Source organism: Homo sapiens, chromosome 8 (genome assembly GCF_000001405.40).
Source record: "Homo sapiens chromosome 8, GRCh38.p14 Primary Assembly".
Lineage (NCBI taxonomy): Eukaryota > Metazoa > Chordata > Mammalia > Primates > Hominidae > Homo > Homo sapiens.
The window spans coordinates 28,036,449-28,054,518 of NC_000008.11; the positions used below are offsets into that span (position 1 = coordinate 28,036,449).

General features: G+C 44.2%; 1 protein-coding gene across 5 annotated transcripts in view; it reads right to left on the reverse strand.

Annotated features, from left to right (window-relative positions):
* Positions 1–18,070, reverse strand: part of NUGGC (nuclear GTPase, germinal center associated) — a 61,973-nt gene that overhangs the window by 14,485 nt on the left and 29,418 nt on the right. For 4 of the 5 annotated variants that reach the window (NM_001010906.2, XM_011544523.3, XM_011544524.4 and 1 more), the window contains 3 exons: positions 11,059–11,164; positions 9,079–9,212; positions 4,603–4,767 (listed from right to left, as the gene is read on the reverse strand). In NM_001010906.2, the coding sequence (NP_001010906.1) occupies positions 4,603–4,767; positions 9,079–9,212; positions 11,059–11,164 (405 nt within the window). Of the gene's footprint in view, positions 1–4,602; positions 4,768–9,078; positions 9,213–11,058; positions 11,165–18,070 lie in introns of those variants that run through there. The other variant, XM_017013403.2, reaches the window with a different exon arrangement.

Sequence of the window (18,070 nt, forward strand, 5' to 3'; positions counted from 1 at the left end):
GCTACATCCTCCAGCCCCACCTCTCTCCAGGCTTCAGTTCCATATTTCCAACACTGTATTAGATATTCCACCTCCATGAAACAGTAAATACATAATCTTCAGTTGTGAACATATTGCTTCCCCAACCAAAGGATAAGCTCCTCCCTCCCAAATCTTCTTAGATCTTCTTTAAATTGAAGCAATTTGCTTTCTCTTGGATGCGAATCTTCCCCAAAAATGTTGCCACCTTGCTTTCCCACATCTCCCCATGTCTGAACTATTGATAATCCTCATTGAGATGTCCTTCAGATTTGCTCTTCTAGCCACCTCTTCCTTCCTATTCTGTCTGCCACAACCTTTGTTGAGATCTTGCCATGTCTCATCTTAACAAAGCACCTACTGTAAGGGAAATGGCTGCGCTTTAGTCAGGAGTAGGCCGAGGCGGTCTTCTGGAGCATCATGACTCAGCGGGTTTGGAGTACAGGTGCACAACCCTGCACATTATGTAACCACGCCACATGAGGTGCATTAGAGGATCACCCACATGAGCTTGTGCTTGGCTCAGAACCACTATTGTCTACAGACGGTATAATTACCCTGCTAACGCTGTACATACAGCTCGCTCATGCCCAGAGAAAGAGTAAAGCCATGTCAAAACTGTCTACGATTCCTCGTTTATCCAGCTACCCGCCACTCGCTCACCAACTCCCCTCAGACCTCAGTTAGACCCTGACACCTCCTAACCAGGCTCTCTGCGTCCAGTTTTTCCCCAAGCATTACACTTCCCAAAGCATTAGTTCTGATGAAGCTATTCTGCTCAAAACTTCACTATGTTCCAACTCTTCAACCTGGTCTAAAGTCTGCAGCAAGCTGACTGTCAGCCTATTCCCCCAAAACTCTGCCCTGTGTACTTGCACTGCAGTTAGATGGCAGCTTCTGGCTCCCACATGAGCTCTGGCCTTCCTCCCCTGAAATGCCTTCCCTGCCCCTCCACTCCTCTGCCCAAAGACACACCACCAGCCTCCAGGGCCAGGCTCCAACAACCTCCTCTCTAGAAGGTTTATTGGACTGTCCTCTAACCTGGCCTGCGATTTCTTTTCCAATATCCATCCCTCCTGCTTCACTGTTGCCTCCCTAGTCCTTCTCTTCTGGAGAAAATGAACTCTACTCCTGCCTCCAGGATGGGACACACACACAGGCCTGAGCTATTCAGCACAAGGCATTCTCTTTTCTCAGGGATTGGTTTAGAAATAGGCATGTGACCCACTTAGAGCCAAAGAAACACCATGAGAGCTTTGCTGAGGTTTCTAAAAAAAGTTCACTCTTCGGAAAGCAGGCCCGGAAATGGCTATCCCCCTGTTCCTCTAGACCAGTGATTCTCAACCGGGAGTGATTTTGTCACAACTGAAGAGTGGGGGCTGCTACCAGCACCTAGGGGGTAGAGTCTAGGGATGAAACAACCTGCAATTCACAGGACAGCCCCTCACAACAAAGCATGATCCGGTCCCAGATATCAATCATGCTGAGGTTAACAAACCCTGCTCCAGAGCTCATGGTGTTCAGATGTGAGTGCAAGAACAGCTGCAGCCATTTTGCCATCATGAGAGAAGCAGCCTGAGAATGGGGCCCATGGAGGCACTGGATTCAGCTCATCCCCCAGGCCCTCTCTTCCCTTGGCTCTCGGGCACGTGGGCCAATACACTTCCTCATGGCTAAGAATGGCTTCAGTTAGGGACTCTGATTTGCAGCCAAAAGATTCCAGCCTGCCACAGCCCCCACCAGAATGCTCTCCCTTCTCTAAACATTTGGAGAACTTTCTGACTGTCTTGTGGTCCTCACCAGCATGCTACCTTTTATTATAGTTCCCCAAATGCTCTCTTAACTCTTCTGAGCAGGGATGTATCTTTCTATCCCTGAAAACTAATAAGAAAAACAGTTGATTTGTTATACACTCTCTTTATGCTGAGTGCGTTGGTCAACCCAGCATTATCACTTTACGTTCATTCTTTCAACTTATCTTTACGGCAACCCTATAACATAGGTACCGTGGTCCTCAATTTATACAGAGGAACCTGAGGCACAGAGAGTTTGAGTAACTTGTCCCGGTCACATAGCTGGCAGATGGGGAAACTGAGGTACGAACCAGAGCCCATGTGGGATACGAAGCCTCTTGGCAACCATGCCTTGTATTCCAAAGTCCTTGTTACATGCAGAAATGAATGAATGAATGAATGCAGCAAAATTTACTTTTATGGGGATTTATAGATGTTAAACTATATAACTGGTTGGCAAATACAAGTTGCTGCAATCGTTTGCTGAGTAGTTTAGGAGACGCAACAGGTGAGTGCAGCAGGAGTTGGGTGTCAAATTATGAAGTTAGGCCGGCCTGGGTTAGATGTGGAGTCCATGCATGGCCATGGAAAAGGTATTTAGTCTCTCTAAGGCTGTAAAATTAAAATAATAATAAGGGTGTTTGCCTCACAGAATGGCTGTGAGGATGGGATAAGGTAACGTGCAGTATCTGATTCCACAGTCAGCATTTTGCTCACATTTGCTGACTGAATGCACGCATGCGTACATACTACACACATGGATACTTGGCTACCCACGCCCAACCGCATGGAAGACACTCCAGCTGTCATCCTCCTGTGTCCACACACTGACACTTTCCCCAGTGACCCCAGAATCACCCCAACTTATCTCCTCCTTTACTCTTGGTTCTTTCGGCATTTATTCTTTGTCTTATGCTAGAGAATCTCCTCCTTTCCTTTCATCCAAATTGCAGCACATGCATCTACTTATCTAGATTTTTTTTTTTTTTTTGAGATGGAGTCTCACTCTGTCACCTCAGCTGGACTGCAATGGCACCATCTCAGCTCACTGCAAGCTCTGCCTCTCAGGTTCAAGTGATTCTCCTGTCTCAGCTTCCCCAGTAGCTGCGATTACAGGTGTCACCACCACACCCGACTAGTTTTTGTATTTTTAGTAGAGACTGGGTTTCACCATGTTGGCCAGGCTGGTCTCAAACTCCTGACCTCAGGTGATCCATCCACCTCAGCCTCCCAAAGTGCTGGGAATACAGGCACAAGCCACCACACTCAGGCTCATCTAGACATTTAAACAAGCTTTTACACAAAGCACACAGATAACAACACCCAGAAGAGGCCAGGTGCTAGAAAGCCGGTATCATCGGTGCACATAGAAAAGCCTCCAGGAAGCCAACCACCCCATCACACTCACCTTTTCACACATTTTCCACTGCTCACATTCCAACTTTCCAAGGCCCACTAAAAACTACAACCACAGACCATCCATGCACTTCTCCCAGCACGGGGGGACACCAAGTCATACAGTGTTGTCCATCACATCTTCCCCTTAATGGGTGCTATGGACTAAAGTGTGACCCTTGAGGTTCACATGCGAAGCCCTAACCACCAGGGTGACTGTGTTTGGAGACACAGCTGGTAAGGAGGTAATTAAGGTTAAATGGGGTCATAAGGGTGGGGCCCTGATCTGACAGGTGTGGTGTCCTTCTGGGAAGAGAAAGAGATCCCAGGAGTGTGCGTGCTCAGTGAAGAGGCCACGTGAGGATGCAGCAAAAATGTGGCCATCTACCTTCTCCAGAAGAGGAGAGAGGCCTCAGAACTCACCCTGCTGACACCTTGATCTTGGACTTTCAGCCTTCAGAACTATGGGAAAATCGATGTCTGTGGTTCAGGCCACCCAGTCTATAGGATTTTGTTATGGCAGCCCAAGCAGACTAATACAATAGGCCTCTTTTTTCACCCCTTAGTCTTAGATAAATACTGCCTTACACTTACATTTTCATCCTTCAGAAACTCTATACAACTAATTAAGAAATAAAACCACAACTTGTATGCCAATTGAGAGGTTACAAGATGTTTCCTCATTGTGTAAGCTCATTGATACTGATATCAACACTACCAGATAGGTAGGGCAAGCATTGAGCATCCTCATTTTATAGTAGAAAACCAATAAATTTTTAAAAAATGGGTCTAGGGCTTTGCCCGGGGCTACAAGGTGGATGTTTGGTGGAGCTGGTACTCCAACCAAGACCCTCAGATCCCAGATTCCCACTCTGTCTTTGCTGAACTGTGTACCTTCCTTGGTCCTTTCAAGACACAGATGAACAACTGTTATGTGCAATTTTCACTCTCTCCTAACCTCCTCTGGCTCTTTTTTTTTGTTTTTTGTTTTTTGTTCTTGTTTTTTTTTTTGAGATGGAGTCTCACTCTCTCGCCAGGCTGGAGTGCAGTAGTGCAGTCTCGGCTCACTGCAATCTCCGCCTCCCTGGTTCAAGCAATTCTCCTGCCTCAGCCTCCTGAGCAGCTGGGATGACAGGCACACGCCACCACACCTGGCTAATTTTTGTATTTTTAGTAGAGACGGGGTTTCACCATGTTGGCCAGGATGGTCTTGATCTCCTGACCTTGTGATCCGCCCACCTCGGCCTCCCAAAGTGCTGGGATTACAGGCATGAGCCGCCATGCCCGGCCCGCTAACTCTTTACCTCTTTTGAAGGGAATGGGATGATGCAAAAGAAGCTTGGGGATCGGGCAGGCCTCCTGGAATATCTGAGTTTTCCCTGGAAGGGTCACTCACCACCAAGCATGCTCTGAGGATGCAGCGGTAAGAAGTCCTGGCGGTCCTGACCCCTTCTTGCAGAGGCTGCTCCATGCAGGCGAAGCACTGTGCGATGGCCTTCTCCAGCAGCTCAACCTTCTCTTCCGCAAATCTCCGCAGGACACTCATGTGCAAGTGTTCATTCTAGGGACAAGGACCATAAAAGAATCAGGCCACCCCCTCCCTAAGGGCACCTTCTCCTGAAGCTTTGCTTTCTTTAAGCTTGTCACCAGCTCAAGATTCAGCTTATCACTCAGAGCTGACTTCTCTTTATTGTCCCCATAAGACCTCACTCAGTGCACAGACCCCTTTAGGCTTTGTGGGGTTAGAGAATAGAACAAATACCTGCCTGGTGCAACTTATTTCATTTCTTAAAAATCACAGTCTCTGCTTATTCAGCAACTTATTTCAGCTGTGTAATCCATCAGGTTATTTGGGGAAGTAGCTATCCACATAGAAATCCAATTGTTATTAAAACAGATTTTTCCAATGACATCTGATTCAACAAACATTTCACGGGCTTGGACTCTGCACGAAGGAGTTTTTAAGGATAATGCTTCTTAAATTTTAACATGCATACAAATCAACAGGAGATCTTAAAATCTGAAATCCAAGGTCCTGGGATTCTGCATTTCTAGCCAGTCCTCAAGTAATGCTGGTCTTCCGAGCTATGGACCACACTTTGCATAGCAAAGCTACAGGACCACAAAAATAAATCCATGCTTCCTTCTTCAAAGAATACAGTCTAATCAGGGAGAAAACATATATTCAAATAATACAAGGAAGTGACCACCAGAGAAAGCCTTGACCCCTAGGTGCCTGATATGGTTTGCTGTGTACCCACCCAAATATCATTTTGAATTGTAGCTCCCATAATTCCACGTGTTGTGGGGGGGACCTGGTGGGAGATAATTGAATCATGGGATTGGCTTTCCCCATACTGTTCTCATGGTAGTGAATGAGTCTCATGAGATCTGATGGTTTTATAAGGAGAAACCTTATAAAACCTTATAAAACATGCCACCATGTAAGACATGCCTTTTGCCCACAATGATTGTGAGGCCTCCCCAGGCACATGGAACTGTGAGTCCATTAAACCTCATTTTCTCTATAAATTACCCAGTCTCGGGTATGTCTTTATCAGCAGCATGAAAATGGACTAATACAGTTCCAGACTGGGAACTCATAGTGTTGTTCCCCACATGGGAACCTTGGTGGGCCCCACAGTGCCTGCAGCAGTCAGAGCCACACTCCCCAGCTTGGCCTTTAAGGCACCTCATAGCCAGAACTCACTCCACCTCTCTAGCACCACCATCTCTGTTTGCCTGACACATCCTGCCAAGTAGCTACCCCTGGACTTGCTGCTATTCCCCAAACATGCTGTCAATCTTGTGCCCTCTGGGCCTTGCTGATTTCATCTTTGTTACTTCGGAGACAAAGCTCAAAGGTCCTTCCCATGAGGCACCTTCCCTGAGTCCCCAGGTAGAGGTGGGGCTCTCTGTCCTGTGCTCCCACTGCACTTCCCACAGTCCTGCACCACAGCACGTCTCCTGCCTCCTGCCGTATGACATCTCTCTCGTTCCCTGTGTCTTCTTCCCTGGATAGGAACTTGCCAAAGGAGCAGGCTCTTAGTCATGCTCTTTTATTCCAGGGCACAGCACAGAGAGCAAAACCCATAGACATTTGTGGATTGAACGAGTGGCCCAGAGAAACTGCGAGATAATTTGGGCTTTTAAATTCTATTTCAAATAGACAGAAATAGCTCTCGAATCGATGTGTGACCTGATACAGGTGATTTAACTTCTCTGATTCTCAACGGTATCATCTTTAAGTGAATTGGGTTGAATGATCTTGAAAACAACCTCACACTCTAAAATGCTGTGAATCTTGGAGTAAATACGTTTTAGAGTTTATGGAGACTGTTTAGCATTCGGTGCACCCCGGGAATTTCCCTCATTTTCACCATTAAGAATTCTACAAAGCATTTTTCCCAGGACATCCTTTAGATTCTTTTGAATTTGTGGTGTCACCAGTGATGAAAATGAAAGAAGAAAGAAGTCATGGAAAGAAAAGCTATGGGCATGATTCTCACAATGCCTCACTCTCGATAAATCCTTGTTGGATAAACAAAAGAATGATAAGAAAGGGAAGAGCGGAGAATAAAAGAACAATAAGAAACAAAGAAGCTGGCACTTAGTATGAATAAACGCAGACTTCATTTGACATTGAGATGTGGTCCTCAACTTCCTATGGATTCTTAAAAATAATGATTGCTCATTTAAAATCACTACTCAAACTCCAAATTTTTGGTTTCAGTGATCATCTTTGAAAAAAAATCAATCACACACATATTTAGATTTGATTTTTCAGAATTCAAAGGAACTGACAAATTCTTGCCTTCCAACTTTCTATCAAAGAGCTAAGAGTAAGACCAATACCTAAGGCCAAGGAATTTTGAGCAAAGTTGCCAGCAACTCCCTAACATAGCTATTGCAGAATTGCCAGTCAGCCCCCTTCTCCTCTATGTTTTCCACTGCTTGGAGTCTGGCTGCAAGGGTGAATCTGAGCCCCTCTGAGCTCTGCACTTCCATATTAGCAAAGAAAACACGTGGGGTGGGCACTTCTGGCCTTGATGGCAAAATGCCTTGTCCTAATGTTTGTAAAATACACCAACCTCACACAGCCCACATCGGATTCATTTTCCATCAGCACTTCCAAAAGCAATCTTGTGCTGGGCAAAGAGACAAATTTCACCCTGAAGAACTGTTTTGGGAAATTGGAAGGTCAAACCCTTCCCCAACGATTTCAGCGGACAAAGTCAAATAAGAAAATCTCAGATTCCAAGAGTTTTGTTTTGTTTTTGTCTTGTACAACTAGACCAAAACAAGTCATAAGAAATAGATTTAAAAAAGATTGAATTTTGCTCTATATGCCCCTTTTATGCAGAAGAAAGACCCCACACCACTAAAGACTTTTTACAAGCATTTATACACAACCAAAGGCTCCAGGTGGCACTGCTTACTCCCACATGGAAGTCAGGTCTCGAGTGTCTGCCTCCCCTTGCCACCCCACAGGGTCATCATTGGCCCACCTTCCCCATCGTGAGGACCAGCTCCTCGACCACTCACAAAGCCCTATTCATGTACTTCCTCTACCCCTTCCCTGTTCCGGCATAACAAGAAGACAAACATCTTGACTGTGCACATCTGACGGGTGAAGGCAAGTGTGCAAATAAGTGAAAACCAACCAAATGAGGACAAGCAGAGGCTGTTTATTCACAGCTCACTACAGCAACAGAGTCAGCCACCATCATTTGAGTTCAGCAGAGACTCAAAAGCAGGCAGGGGAGTGGAAAAGCTTCATGGTGGACAAAAGGAAAGGCTTCGGGGTGCCCTGATTGGAGGCTGTTGGCCTGGGGACACTAAAGACGGGCTAGCTAAAAGCAGAGCAGCCAATGTGGTTGGTTAGGCATAGACATTTGGTTTTCCCGGTTGGTAGTAAGTTGGAAGCAGGAACAGAGATTAGGGAAGTTATTCATCAAGTCCCGGCCATCTGGTGCTGATTGTTACAGAGTTATTCTTTAGCCTCCTGGGTTGTTATTAGAGATAGCAGTTTGACTTCCTGAAGTCTGACTTACAGACAGAAGGCTTCCTGGGCTGTTTATTGTAGATAAGAGGTTGGTTTCTGGGCAGGTGGCTGCAGGTTGTGGTCAGAGATCTATTTTTACACACGGTCCAGCAATTGTCTTTGCATATTCTATCTCTCATAAGGAGACAACACAGCTGGTGACTGACGACAGTAAGAGGTTTTTCTCCAAAACCCCCCAAGTCTCTAATCTAGCAGCTTATCCCTCTTATTTTAGGGTTAAAAAGAAACCATCCATGAAAGAGATAAATATGTCAATTACTATGAGAAAAGTAATTTTAACTACTTTTTCAGAAGGCCTGCATTCTTGCCAGTGAAGATAACTATTGAAACTCTACTGAAATTCCCTCCAAGCTTCCATCCTCTCACATTATTTTCCTGTGCTCTTCTGAGCTTGAGATTCTGACAGCACCAGAGACAGATGAAATATTTTTGGACTGTATACATAAACACGCCTCTCCAGGGTAACCAAGAAGTGTCTATATTCCACTAGAAGCAAGCCAAATCACGCCTGCCATCGCTTAAACACATTCCACCTTGTTCGAGTCTCAGGAGAGTTGGAAAATAGCTACTATTTTGACATTTTTCTCTCAGCCCATCTGTCCCAGGTAAAATATTACTCCTTTCTCTTTTACCCAAATGTTATGATTTTAACCCTCTAATTATCTTTTTGTCCTTTTAGACTCACTGAACTTCATATCTTCCTTTAATATGAAAAGAAAAAATATCATAAGTTAATTTTCTAACTTGGTAAAAGGAAATGTCCTGCCCAGGAAGGGGGAGAATATGAAAACCCAGTGTCTTCCATACCGGCAGGTTTTGCGTGGAGTTGAAACTATCTGTGAGGAGCAACAGGCCAAAGGCTTCAGTCACATACTTGGTCACTGTCCTCTTCTTCTTGTCCAAGAGGCTCTTCCTGATGTATTCTCTTAACTTAGGGATTTCTGGAATTCACAGGCAGCACAAATAATTGTTAAAGGCCAGAAGTTTGTGGTCAATAGAATTCATAAAAGTTGAAAGACCAAGGTGGCGATATGAATGAAGTAGAGTTGAGATCCCAAGTGGGCTGGATGCCTACAGAACCAACCTTTCTGAAAAGCACTTTTCCCATGTCTAGGATCAATGACAGTGATGAATGGTAGATCAGCAATACTGCATATTCATTTTATTTAGCCGTATTAAAAAAACTACATGGAAAAGTACAGGCTAGTTGAAAACATGGGCTCTTTCCTTTGAACAGCTATCACCTGCAGAGGTAAACCAAAGTGCTCGGAATTCTAGAGTCCCAGCCCTTCAGTCCCCCTAGACTTTTCTACCTATATCAACTAACCCTTAACACCAGAATAGCCCATGCTTGCTGTAGAAAGGAACAAGAACCTCTGACATGCAGGATTCTAGATGTGACAGGATTCCTGTCACATCCTAACCCATTGTCTGTCAGAAGATAATAGATGCCACTCTACCCTTTTCCCCATTATTCCCATATGTGTCAATTTCTCTATATTATTCCTTCCATATACCATGCTAATTTTGTCTTTTATACCCTTAATCAAGCAGTTCCCCCATCTCTGGGAACATTTCACACCTTCTGCTCCTTAACCTCCATTCACATACCTACACGTCTAGTCAAATGCATGCACGTTGCAAGCCATATCAAGTTCAGATGAGAATGCAGTCCTGACCCTGCCTGCCCACCCACTTTCCACTGAGTATCTAGCGCACGCAGAGCTCTAGGTTCCCCGGGCTTCTATTGCACTCATGGTCAGCAACAACTAAACCTTATTTTTACTTCAGTTTTTGCATTTGGGTTAGTATTAGCTCCTCATCCAGATTTCAAGTTCTGTGAAGAAAGAGCCATGCCTTATGCTTTCACTGCCTCACAGACAAAATATACAATAGTCACTCAGGAAACAATTCTAATGCCTGAAGCTGGGTGGGAGGGGACTAAGGAAATGATAACCCAATTTTTTTTTTTTTTTTTGAGACGAAGTTCCACTGTTGTCACCCAGACTGGAGTTCAATGGTGCGATCTCGGCTCACTGCAACCTCCACCTCCCAGATTCAAGCAATTCTCCTGCCTTAGCCTCCCGAGTAGCTGGCACCACCACGTCCGGCTAATTTTTGTATTTTTTAGTAGAAATGGGGTTTCACCATATTGGTCAGGTTGGTCTTGAACTCCTGACCTTAGGGGATCAACCCACCTCGACCTCCCAAAGTGCTGGGATTACAGGCATGAACCAACATGCCTGGCTTTTTTTGTTGTTGTGTTTTGAGACAGAGTTTCACTCTTGTTGTCCAGGCTGTAGTGCAATGGCGCAATCTTGGCTCACTGCAACCTCTGCCTCCCGGGTTCAAGCAATTCTCCTGCCTCAGCCTCCCAAGTAGCTGAGATTATAGGCATGCACCACCACGCCTGGCAAATTTTGTATTTTTAGTAGAGATGGGGTTTCACCATGTTTGTCAGGCTGTTCTCATACTCCTGACCTCAGGTGATCTACCCACTTTGGCCTCCCAAAGTGCTGGAATTACAGGTGTGAGCCACTGCGCCCAGCAACCCAATTATTTGACCTTTACCAACCCATGGTAAGATTTGGAGGCAAGAGGAACTGTGGTCTCTGGCACCACAACAATGCAGAGAGGAAAATATCCTTATTTGCAATTGGTATTGAAACCATGGCAAGCTGGAAAAAAATTGTTTGTGTGGCACAAAAAGTTCTAGAGCAGGAAATTCGAAGTGCCAAGCTTGATCTTGAGAATTTTAGTGATGGAGATTTAAAAAACATAAATTACCCGTTTCCTCCTCGGTGAGGAGAGCCTGCTGCCAGTACTCCTGGGCGCTGACTGTATACACCAGATCTGAGGCTTCCAGAACCTTGAAGTCAGCTGGCAGTTTTCTCTGAAGTGAGAGAGTCACACAGAAAACAGAATAACTCAAACCATAGCAAAGGCAATCATGCACAGGACCCACAAGAGCCTTCAGCCAATTTCAGCTCACTCATTTTCAGTTCTCCATGACCCTCTCTGGGAACAGACAATGTTCTCAATGTCTGGTGTTGCCATCTGTCCACTCCTAACAAGGTCAGAAGTTATGAGGAAACTGCTGCATAGAAACTATTCTCTTGGGAGTTAATATCAATTCTAGAAGAAAATGTGTAGAGAAAATAATTCAAAGTTGTATTTAAATGTTCAGAGGGGGAATAATACCAGGATCCTTTCTCAAAAAAGAAACACATGTCTGGAATAGGCAGTGATGTGCTGCAGCCAGCTCGTACCAGCTCCTGAAAGCCAACAGCACACATCACTTTCCTACTCTGCATTCAGTGACGTCACACTGGTAGCTTGAAATTGACAATGTTGGGACTGTTTCAGTCCTGAATCTCAAACTGATAACCCAAATCCATAACCACATTGTGATCCCTAATCTTCAACCAAATAATTCCAGCTGACATGTGACCACAGCTTATCAATACTAAGAGGCACATCATTTCCCTGTTTAAGATTTCTGAAATTGAGATGCATCTTGCAACTGCTATAGACCAGGTGACAATCACAAGGTGGTTGTCACTGCCTGCGTGTTATGGGCTGAAATGTATCCCCCTCCAAAATTCAAATGTTGAGGTCCCAATCCCCACTAACTCCTATTTACACCACAGGAATTGGCAAATGGTACACATCAGCCTTTTGGGTTTTTTGTTTGTTTGTTTGTTTTGGGGGATTTTTTTGTTTTTAAACAAAGAGCTAGTTGTTAAACATTTACAAGCGCAACGCAACACAAACCTGGCTAAGGTCCTAGAAAAGTGACAGTTTCTTAAGTAGTTAGTGAGTAATCATACACATTTTAATGCAGACTAATGTTGAAACATTAGTCTGGGTGCGGTGGTTCACACCTGTAATCCTAGCACTTTGGGAGGCCAAGGCAGGCGGATCACAAGGTCAGGAGTTCGAGACCAGCCTGGCCAATATGGTGAAACCCCATCTCTACTAAAAAATACAAAAATTAGCCAGGCATGGTGGTGCGCACTTGTAGTCGCAGCTACTCGGGAGGCTGAGACAAGAGAATTGTTTGAACCCGGGAGGTAGAGGTTGCAATGAGCCAAGATCATGCCACTGCACTCCAGCCTGGGTGACAGAGAGATTCCATCTCAAAAAAAAAAAAAAAAAAAAGTCAAGCAATTAAGAATTATTTGAGGGAGTCTTTTTTTGTGCTTAGAAAAACAGTGTCGTGGAGAAGTCATACTAGAATCATATAGAAATAGCATTACATATTCTTTCATTCTTCTTACTTAAAAAAAAAGAGAAAAACATTCACCTATAGAATGTGCATGTGCGTGTGTGGGTATTTGAGGGAGGTAGAAAGCAGTGAAGAGTTGTCAATCTCTTTCTGATGCAAAGATATAAAGAGCTGAGTGAGTAGACGCCTTGCAGTCCACTGGGACTGGTGAGAAGCCGTGTCCCTGGCAAGCTATAAGCACGTGTAGTTAAGGCTGGAATACGGATATCTGTGCAGACTGCCAGAAGCCCACCCCCACCAACCCCCTTATAGAGTGAGCTGAAGTTGCAAAAAGAATCTATCTGCTGAGATTTTGCTTTGATTGAGTTTTCACTCTAGGAAAAAGTTTAGGGAAAGCTGAAACTATTTTCTACTGGGAGATGAAATTAATGTAGAATTAAGTTTAAGTAGAGTTTTAAAACAGTTCCAAGAAAGGCATGTGCTTAGCTGTGTCCAGATGTTTGCATTATTTAAAATCTGGACCTAAATCTTGTATAACTTTTCTAAAAATTACTGAAGATTAGTTAACATTTATGCTTTTTATTGTAGTAAAAAGAAATGTTTTTATAGTGTCAGTGAAGTGACTCTAGTATAAAGGGTTCATATTATTGTAAAAGAGAAGTAGAAACAGCTACAGCTAGAGGTAGGATCCAAGATGTTAGTAGATATTCATTAAATTATGCAACAGAAACATTACACACTGTTCTAATTTAAACACATGGCTTGTCATAATAAAACGTAACACAATATATTAAAGTTTGTAAAAAGATGTTGTATGTGAGAGAGGAGAAAACGTGGAAGCTCAAACCAGAAGGGAGGCTAGGTGTGGTGGCTCACACCTGTAATCCCAGCACTTTGGGAAGCCGAGGCAGGTGGATTGCCTAAGCTCAGGAATTCAGGACCAGCCTAGCCAACATGGTGAAACCCCGTCTCTACTAAAAATACAAAAAATTAGTCGGGCATGGAGGCACACGCCTGTAGTCCCAACTACTCGGGAGGCTGAAGCAGGAGAATTCCTTGAGCCTGGGAAGCAGAGGCTGCAGTGAGCCATGATCACGCCATTGAACTCCAGCCAGGACAACAAAGGAAGACACTATCTTAAAAAAATTAAATAAAAGGCCGGGCACGGTGGCTCATGCCTGTAATCCCAGCACTTCGGGAGGCCGAGGCGGGCAAATCACCGGAGGTCTGGAGTTTGAGACCAGCCTGATCAACATGGAGAAACCCCGTCTCTACTAAAAATACAAAATTAGCCAGGCATGGTGGTGAGTGCCTGTAATCCCAGCTACTCGGGAGGCTGAGGCAGGAGAATCGCTTGAACCAGGGAGGCAGATATTGTGGTAAGCCAAGATCGTGCCATTACATTCCAGCCTGGGCAACAAGAACAAAACTCTGTTAAAAAAAAAGAAAAAAGGAAAGGAAAAGAAAGGAAAGGAAAGGAAAGGAAGAAAGAAAACAGAAGGGTTATTCAATGGAAGCAGAATCAGAAAGGATATAGTAAAGTTGGAGTTACACTGAAACCAGTAATATCAATCATGACCCAGCTGGGTGAGGTGGCTCATGCCTGTAATCCTAGTACTTTGGGAGGCTGAGACAGGTGGGTCACCTGAGGTCAGGAGTTCGAGACCAGCCTGGCCAATATGGTGAAACCCTGTCTTCACTAAAACTACAAAAATTAGCCAGTTGTGGTGGCGCATGCCTGTAATCCCAGCTACCTGGGAGACTGAGGCAGGAGAATCACTTGAACCCAGGAGGCAGAGGTTGCAGTGAGCCAACATTGTGCCACTGCATTCTAGCCTGGGCAACAGAGCCAGGCTCCGTCTCAAAAAAAAAAAAAAATCATGACCTGATTTTTAAAAATCTACCTGAAATCAGTGACATAAATCATGACTCATTTTTTAAATCCACCTTTTCTAGCTTTGTCATGAAAATTATGTTGCAGTGATGTCACTCTGCCACTGTCTTACTTGTATGAAATAATTTGATCTGAGCCCCTAGCACTCTTTTTTTGCTGTTGTTAGAGATGGGGGTCTTGCTATGTTGCCCTAGCTGGTCTTGAACTCCTGGCCTCATACGATCCTCCCACCTCGGCCTCCCAAAGTGCTGAGATTACAGGTGTGAGCCACTGCTCCTGGCCCAATTATTATTTTTAATGTTATTCTCGCTAAAAGAAACCCCAGATTCCTGGGGAGTAGTTGTTCCATATCTTGGGGCAGGGAAAAATAAAGTGAACCTGAATATCTTGTTGTAGCTAGACAGCAAGAATGTTTTTTAAATGCTAAAGGGAGTAATGCTAAAGGGAGTCAGCTTAAAGGGTTCCCACTGGCCAAAAAGTGACACATTGAGCATCAGAATGAACACAATAGTTCTGTGAAAAGCTATGAGCTCATTATGATCCTAAAACTGAGTAAATAAAATAAGGTATGTTAAAGTAAAGGCATTAACCACCTCAAACAATATATGCCTGAGACTGTCAAAATTCAGTCTGTAAATTCCACTTGGGCAAGTCCTAAAAGTTTACCTAACATATAAAAGAATATTAACAGTCTTAGTAGGGGCACAAAAATCCTGTCAGGTCAAATCAGGCAGTAAAACTTTGTGAATTAGGTTAAAATAAAAAGTCGTGTGACAGTTTATAGTAAAAACTGAGCCAAGGCGGCCAGGTGCATTGGCTCATGCCTGTAATCCCAGCACTTTGAGAGGCTGAGGGCAGATCACCTGAGGTCGGGAGTTTGAGACCAGCCTGACCAGCATGGAGAAACCCCGTCTCTACTAAAAGTACAAAATTAGCTGGGCCTGGTGGCCCATGCCTGTAATCCCAGCTACTTGGGAGGCTGAGGCAGGAGAATTGCTTGAACCCAGGAGGCGGAGGTTGCGGTGAGCCAAGATAGCGCCATTGCACTCCAGCCTGGGCAACAGGAGCGAAACAAAACAAAACAAAACAAAACAAAAACAAAAACAAACAAAAAAAACCAAACTGGGTCAAGGCAAAATTTAAGGGAAGGTCAAGTGAACCATAACATACCAGGTAGTAAGAAAAGATGTGGAGCTAGAAAGCCTCGTTACTATAGGATGGGGCCCAAATCAGGCATCTTGGAAGGATCTATGTGCCTGTGTCTCAGCCTTGAATCTCAAACTAGTAACTCAAATCCATAACTACATTGTGATCCCCAATCTTCAACCACTTAACTTCAGCTGATATGTGACTACAGCTTATCAATACTAAGAGGCACATTGTTTCCCCGTTTAATATTTTTGAAATTGAGGTGCATCTTGCAACTGCTGCAGGCCAGGTGGCAGTCACAAGGTGGTTGTCACTGCCTGTGTGTTATGGGCTGAAATGTATCCCCCTCCAAAATTCACATGTTGAGGTCCTAATCTCCACTACCTAAAAATGTGACCTTATATGGAAATTGGGTCATTGAGGATGAAATGTATTAAGATGAAGTCATAATGGAGTAGGGTGGGCCCCTAATCCAATGACTGGTGTCTTTAAAAAAAGGGGAAATTTGGATACAGAGACACACACATGAGGAGAATGGCATATGAAGACTGGAGTTGTGCTGCCACAAGCCAGGAATTACCAGAAGCAAGCAGACAGAACTGTACCAGATCCTTCCTGCAGTTTCAGAGGGAGCATGGCGCTGCTAATACCTTGATTTTGGACTTCCAGCCTCCAGAACTGGGAGATAATAATTTTCTGTCGTTCCAAGCTACCCAGCTGTGGTGCTTAGGAGGTTCATACACTGCACATGGGTGAACTTGGTCACAGCTGTTCACATTGCCCTTCCTTCTAATGAGTTGTGTGCATTACTTAACTGCCATTTAATATGTCTTTTAAAAGATTATGTTATGATTCAGCATTGAAAGGTCAGCATTTTCCAGGCCGTTACATCGAAAGGCCTGGAAATGGAAACGTGGGGCATATACTTGATGTTAGTGGAAGTATGGTTGGTGTAGACAGTAATTCCAGATTTTTTTGCAAAGCAACACCTAAGTGCTTCATGGGACCTAGGAAAGGGAGACATCCACATGTAGATGAAGGTGGGTTGTGTTTTGATACTGAGGTGTATGCAAAGTGACTGCCTATCCCACACCCAGCCAAAAAAAAAAGTGATGGAAACTCAAAGAATGCCTTATAAAGAACTTCTGTCTCATGTTTTCTGTGATTAAAACTAAATTTGCTCCAAGGCTAGGCATTGTGGCTCACACCTGTAATCCCAGTGCTTTGGGAGGCCCAAGCAGGAGAATTGCTTGAGCCCAGGAATTAGAGACCAGCCTGGGCAACATACCCTGTCTCTACAAAAAATTTAAAAATTAGCTGGATGTGGTGGTGCATACCGGTATACCGGTAGTCCTAGCTCCTTGGGAGGCTGGTGGTGGTCAGGGGGTGCGGAGTGCGGGCAGGAAGATAGCTTGAGCCCAGGAATTCAACGTTGCAGTGAGTTATCATTGTGCCACTACACTCCAGCCTGGCTAACAGAGTGAGACCCATCTGGGAAAAAAAAAAAGTTCCAAACAACGGCATGTAGTACAAGTAAAGGTTTCACAATAATTCAAACTGAAATAAAGTGGTTGGAGAATGAAGGCATCACCTTGCCATCAGAGGTGTGGGTTTTAGGCCTCAGAAGAACTTGCACCATAGCGGTGACAGCTATAGTCACCCTGCAAACTGATGTATTGCTGCCCAGGCCCTAACTCATACAAACCAATTCGGCATGTTTACTGGCATAGTTGTAAATTGTGTATTGAAGTATTCTACGTTTCCATTTCCAGGGATAATATGATCAGGCACTCATACAATGCATATTTATTTAATACCAACAAGAACAATTCAACAGACCAAGACCAGCTGTACTAAGTTTTGCCTCGTTAAAACTGGCATTCAAGAATTGCCTGATAGAATATTTTGGCTTAAGTATGAGGCCTAATGATATTGCGCTAGAAACAAAAGCTTTGAAATTTTCAATTCCACGTTGCACAACAGACATTTTCTGTATCAATATTATTGAAGGCAAAATACAGAAAGAAATTGAATATAGAGCTGGTCATCGGCCAAATGTTTTTACTATTGAATCCAATACCGAAGATTTTGTTTCAGCCAAACATATCATCTGTCACATGGTACTTACTCTGATATATCCCTTATGTTGTGTTGTTTATATTTTATCTTAAACTTGGTTTTAGTTTTATAGTTGTACAAGACTATTATAGGCCAGACGTGGTGGCTCACGTTGGTAATCCCAGCACTTTGGGAGGCCGAGGTGGGTAGATCACCAGAGGTCAGGAGTTCGAGACCAGCCTGGCTAACATGGTGAAACCTCATCTCCACTAAAAATACAAAAATTAGCTGGGCATAGTGGCAGGCACTTGTAATCCCAGCTACTTGGGAGGCTGAGGCAGGAAAATCGTTTGAACCCAGGGGTCAGAGGTTGCAGTGAGCCGAGATTGCACCACTGCACTCCAGCCTGGGCAACGGAGCGCAACTCTGTCTCAAAATAAAAAAGTTAAAAAAAAAGACTATAATAATAA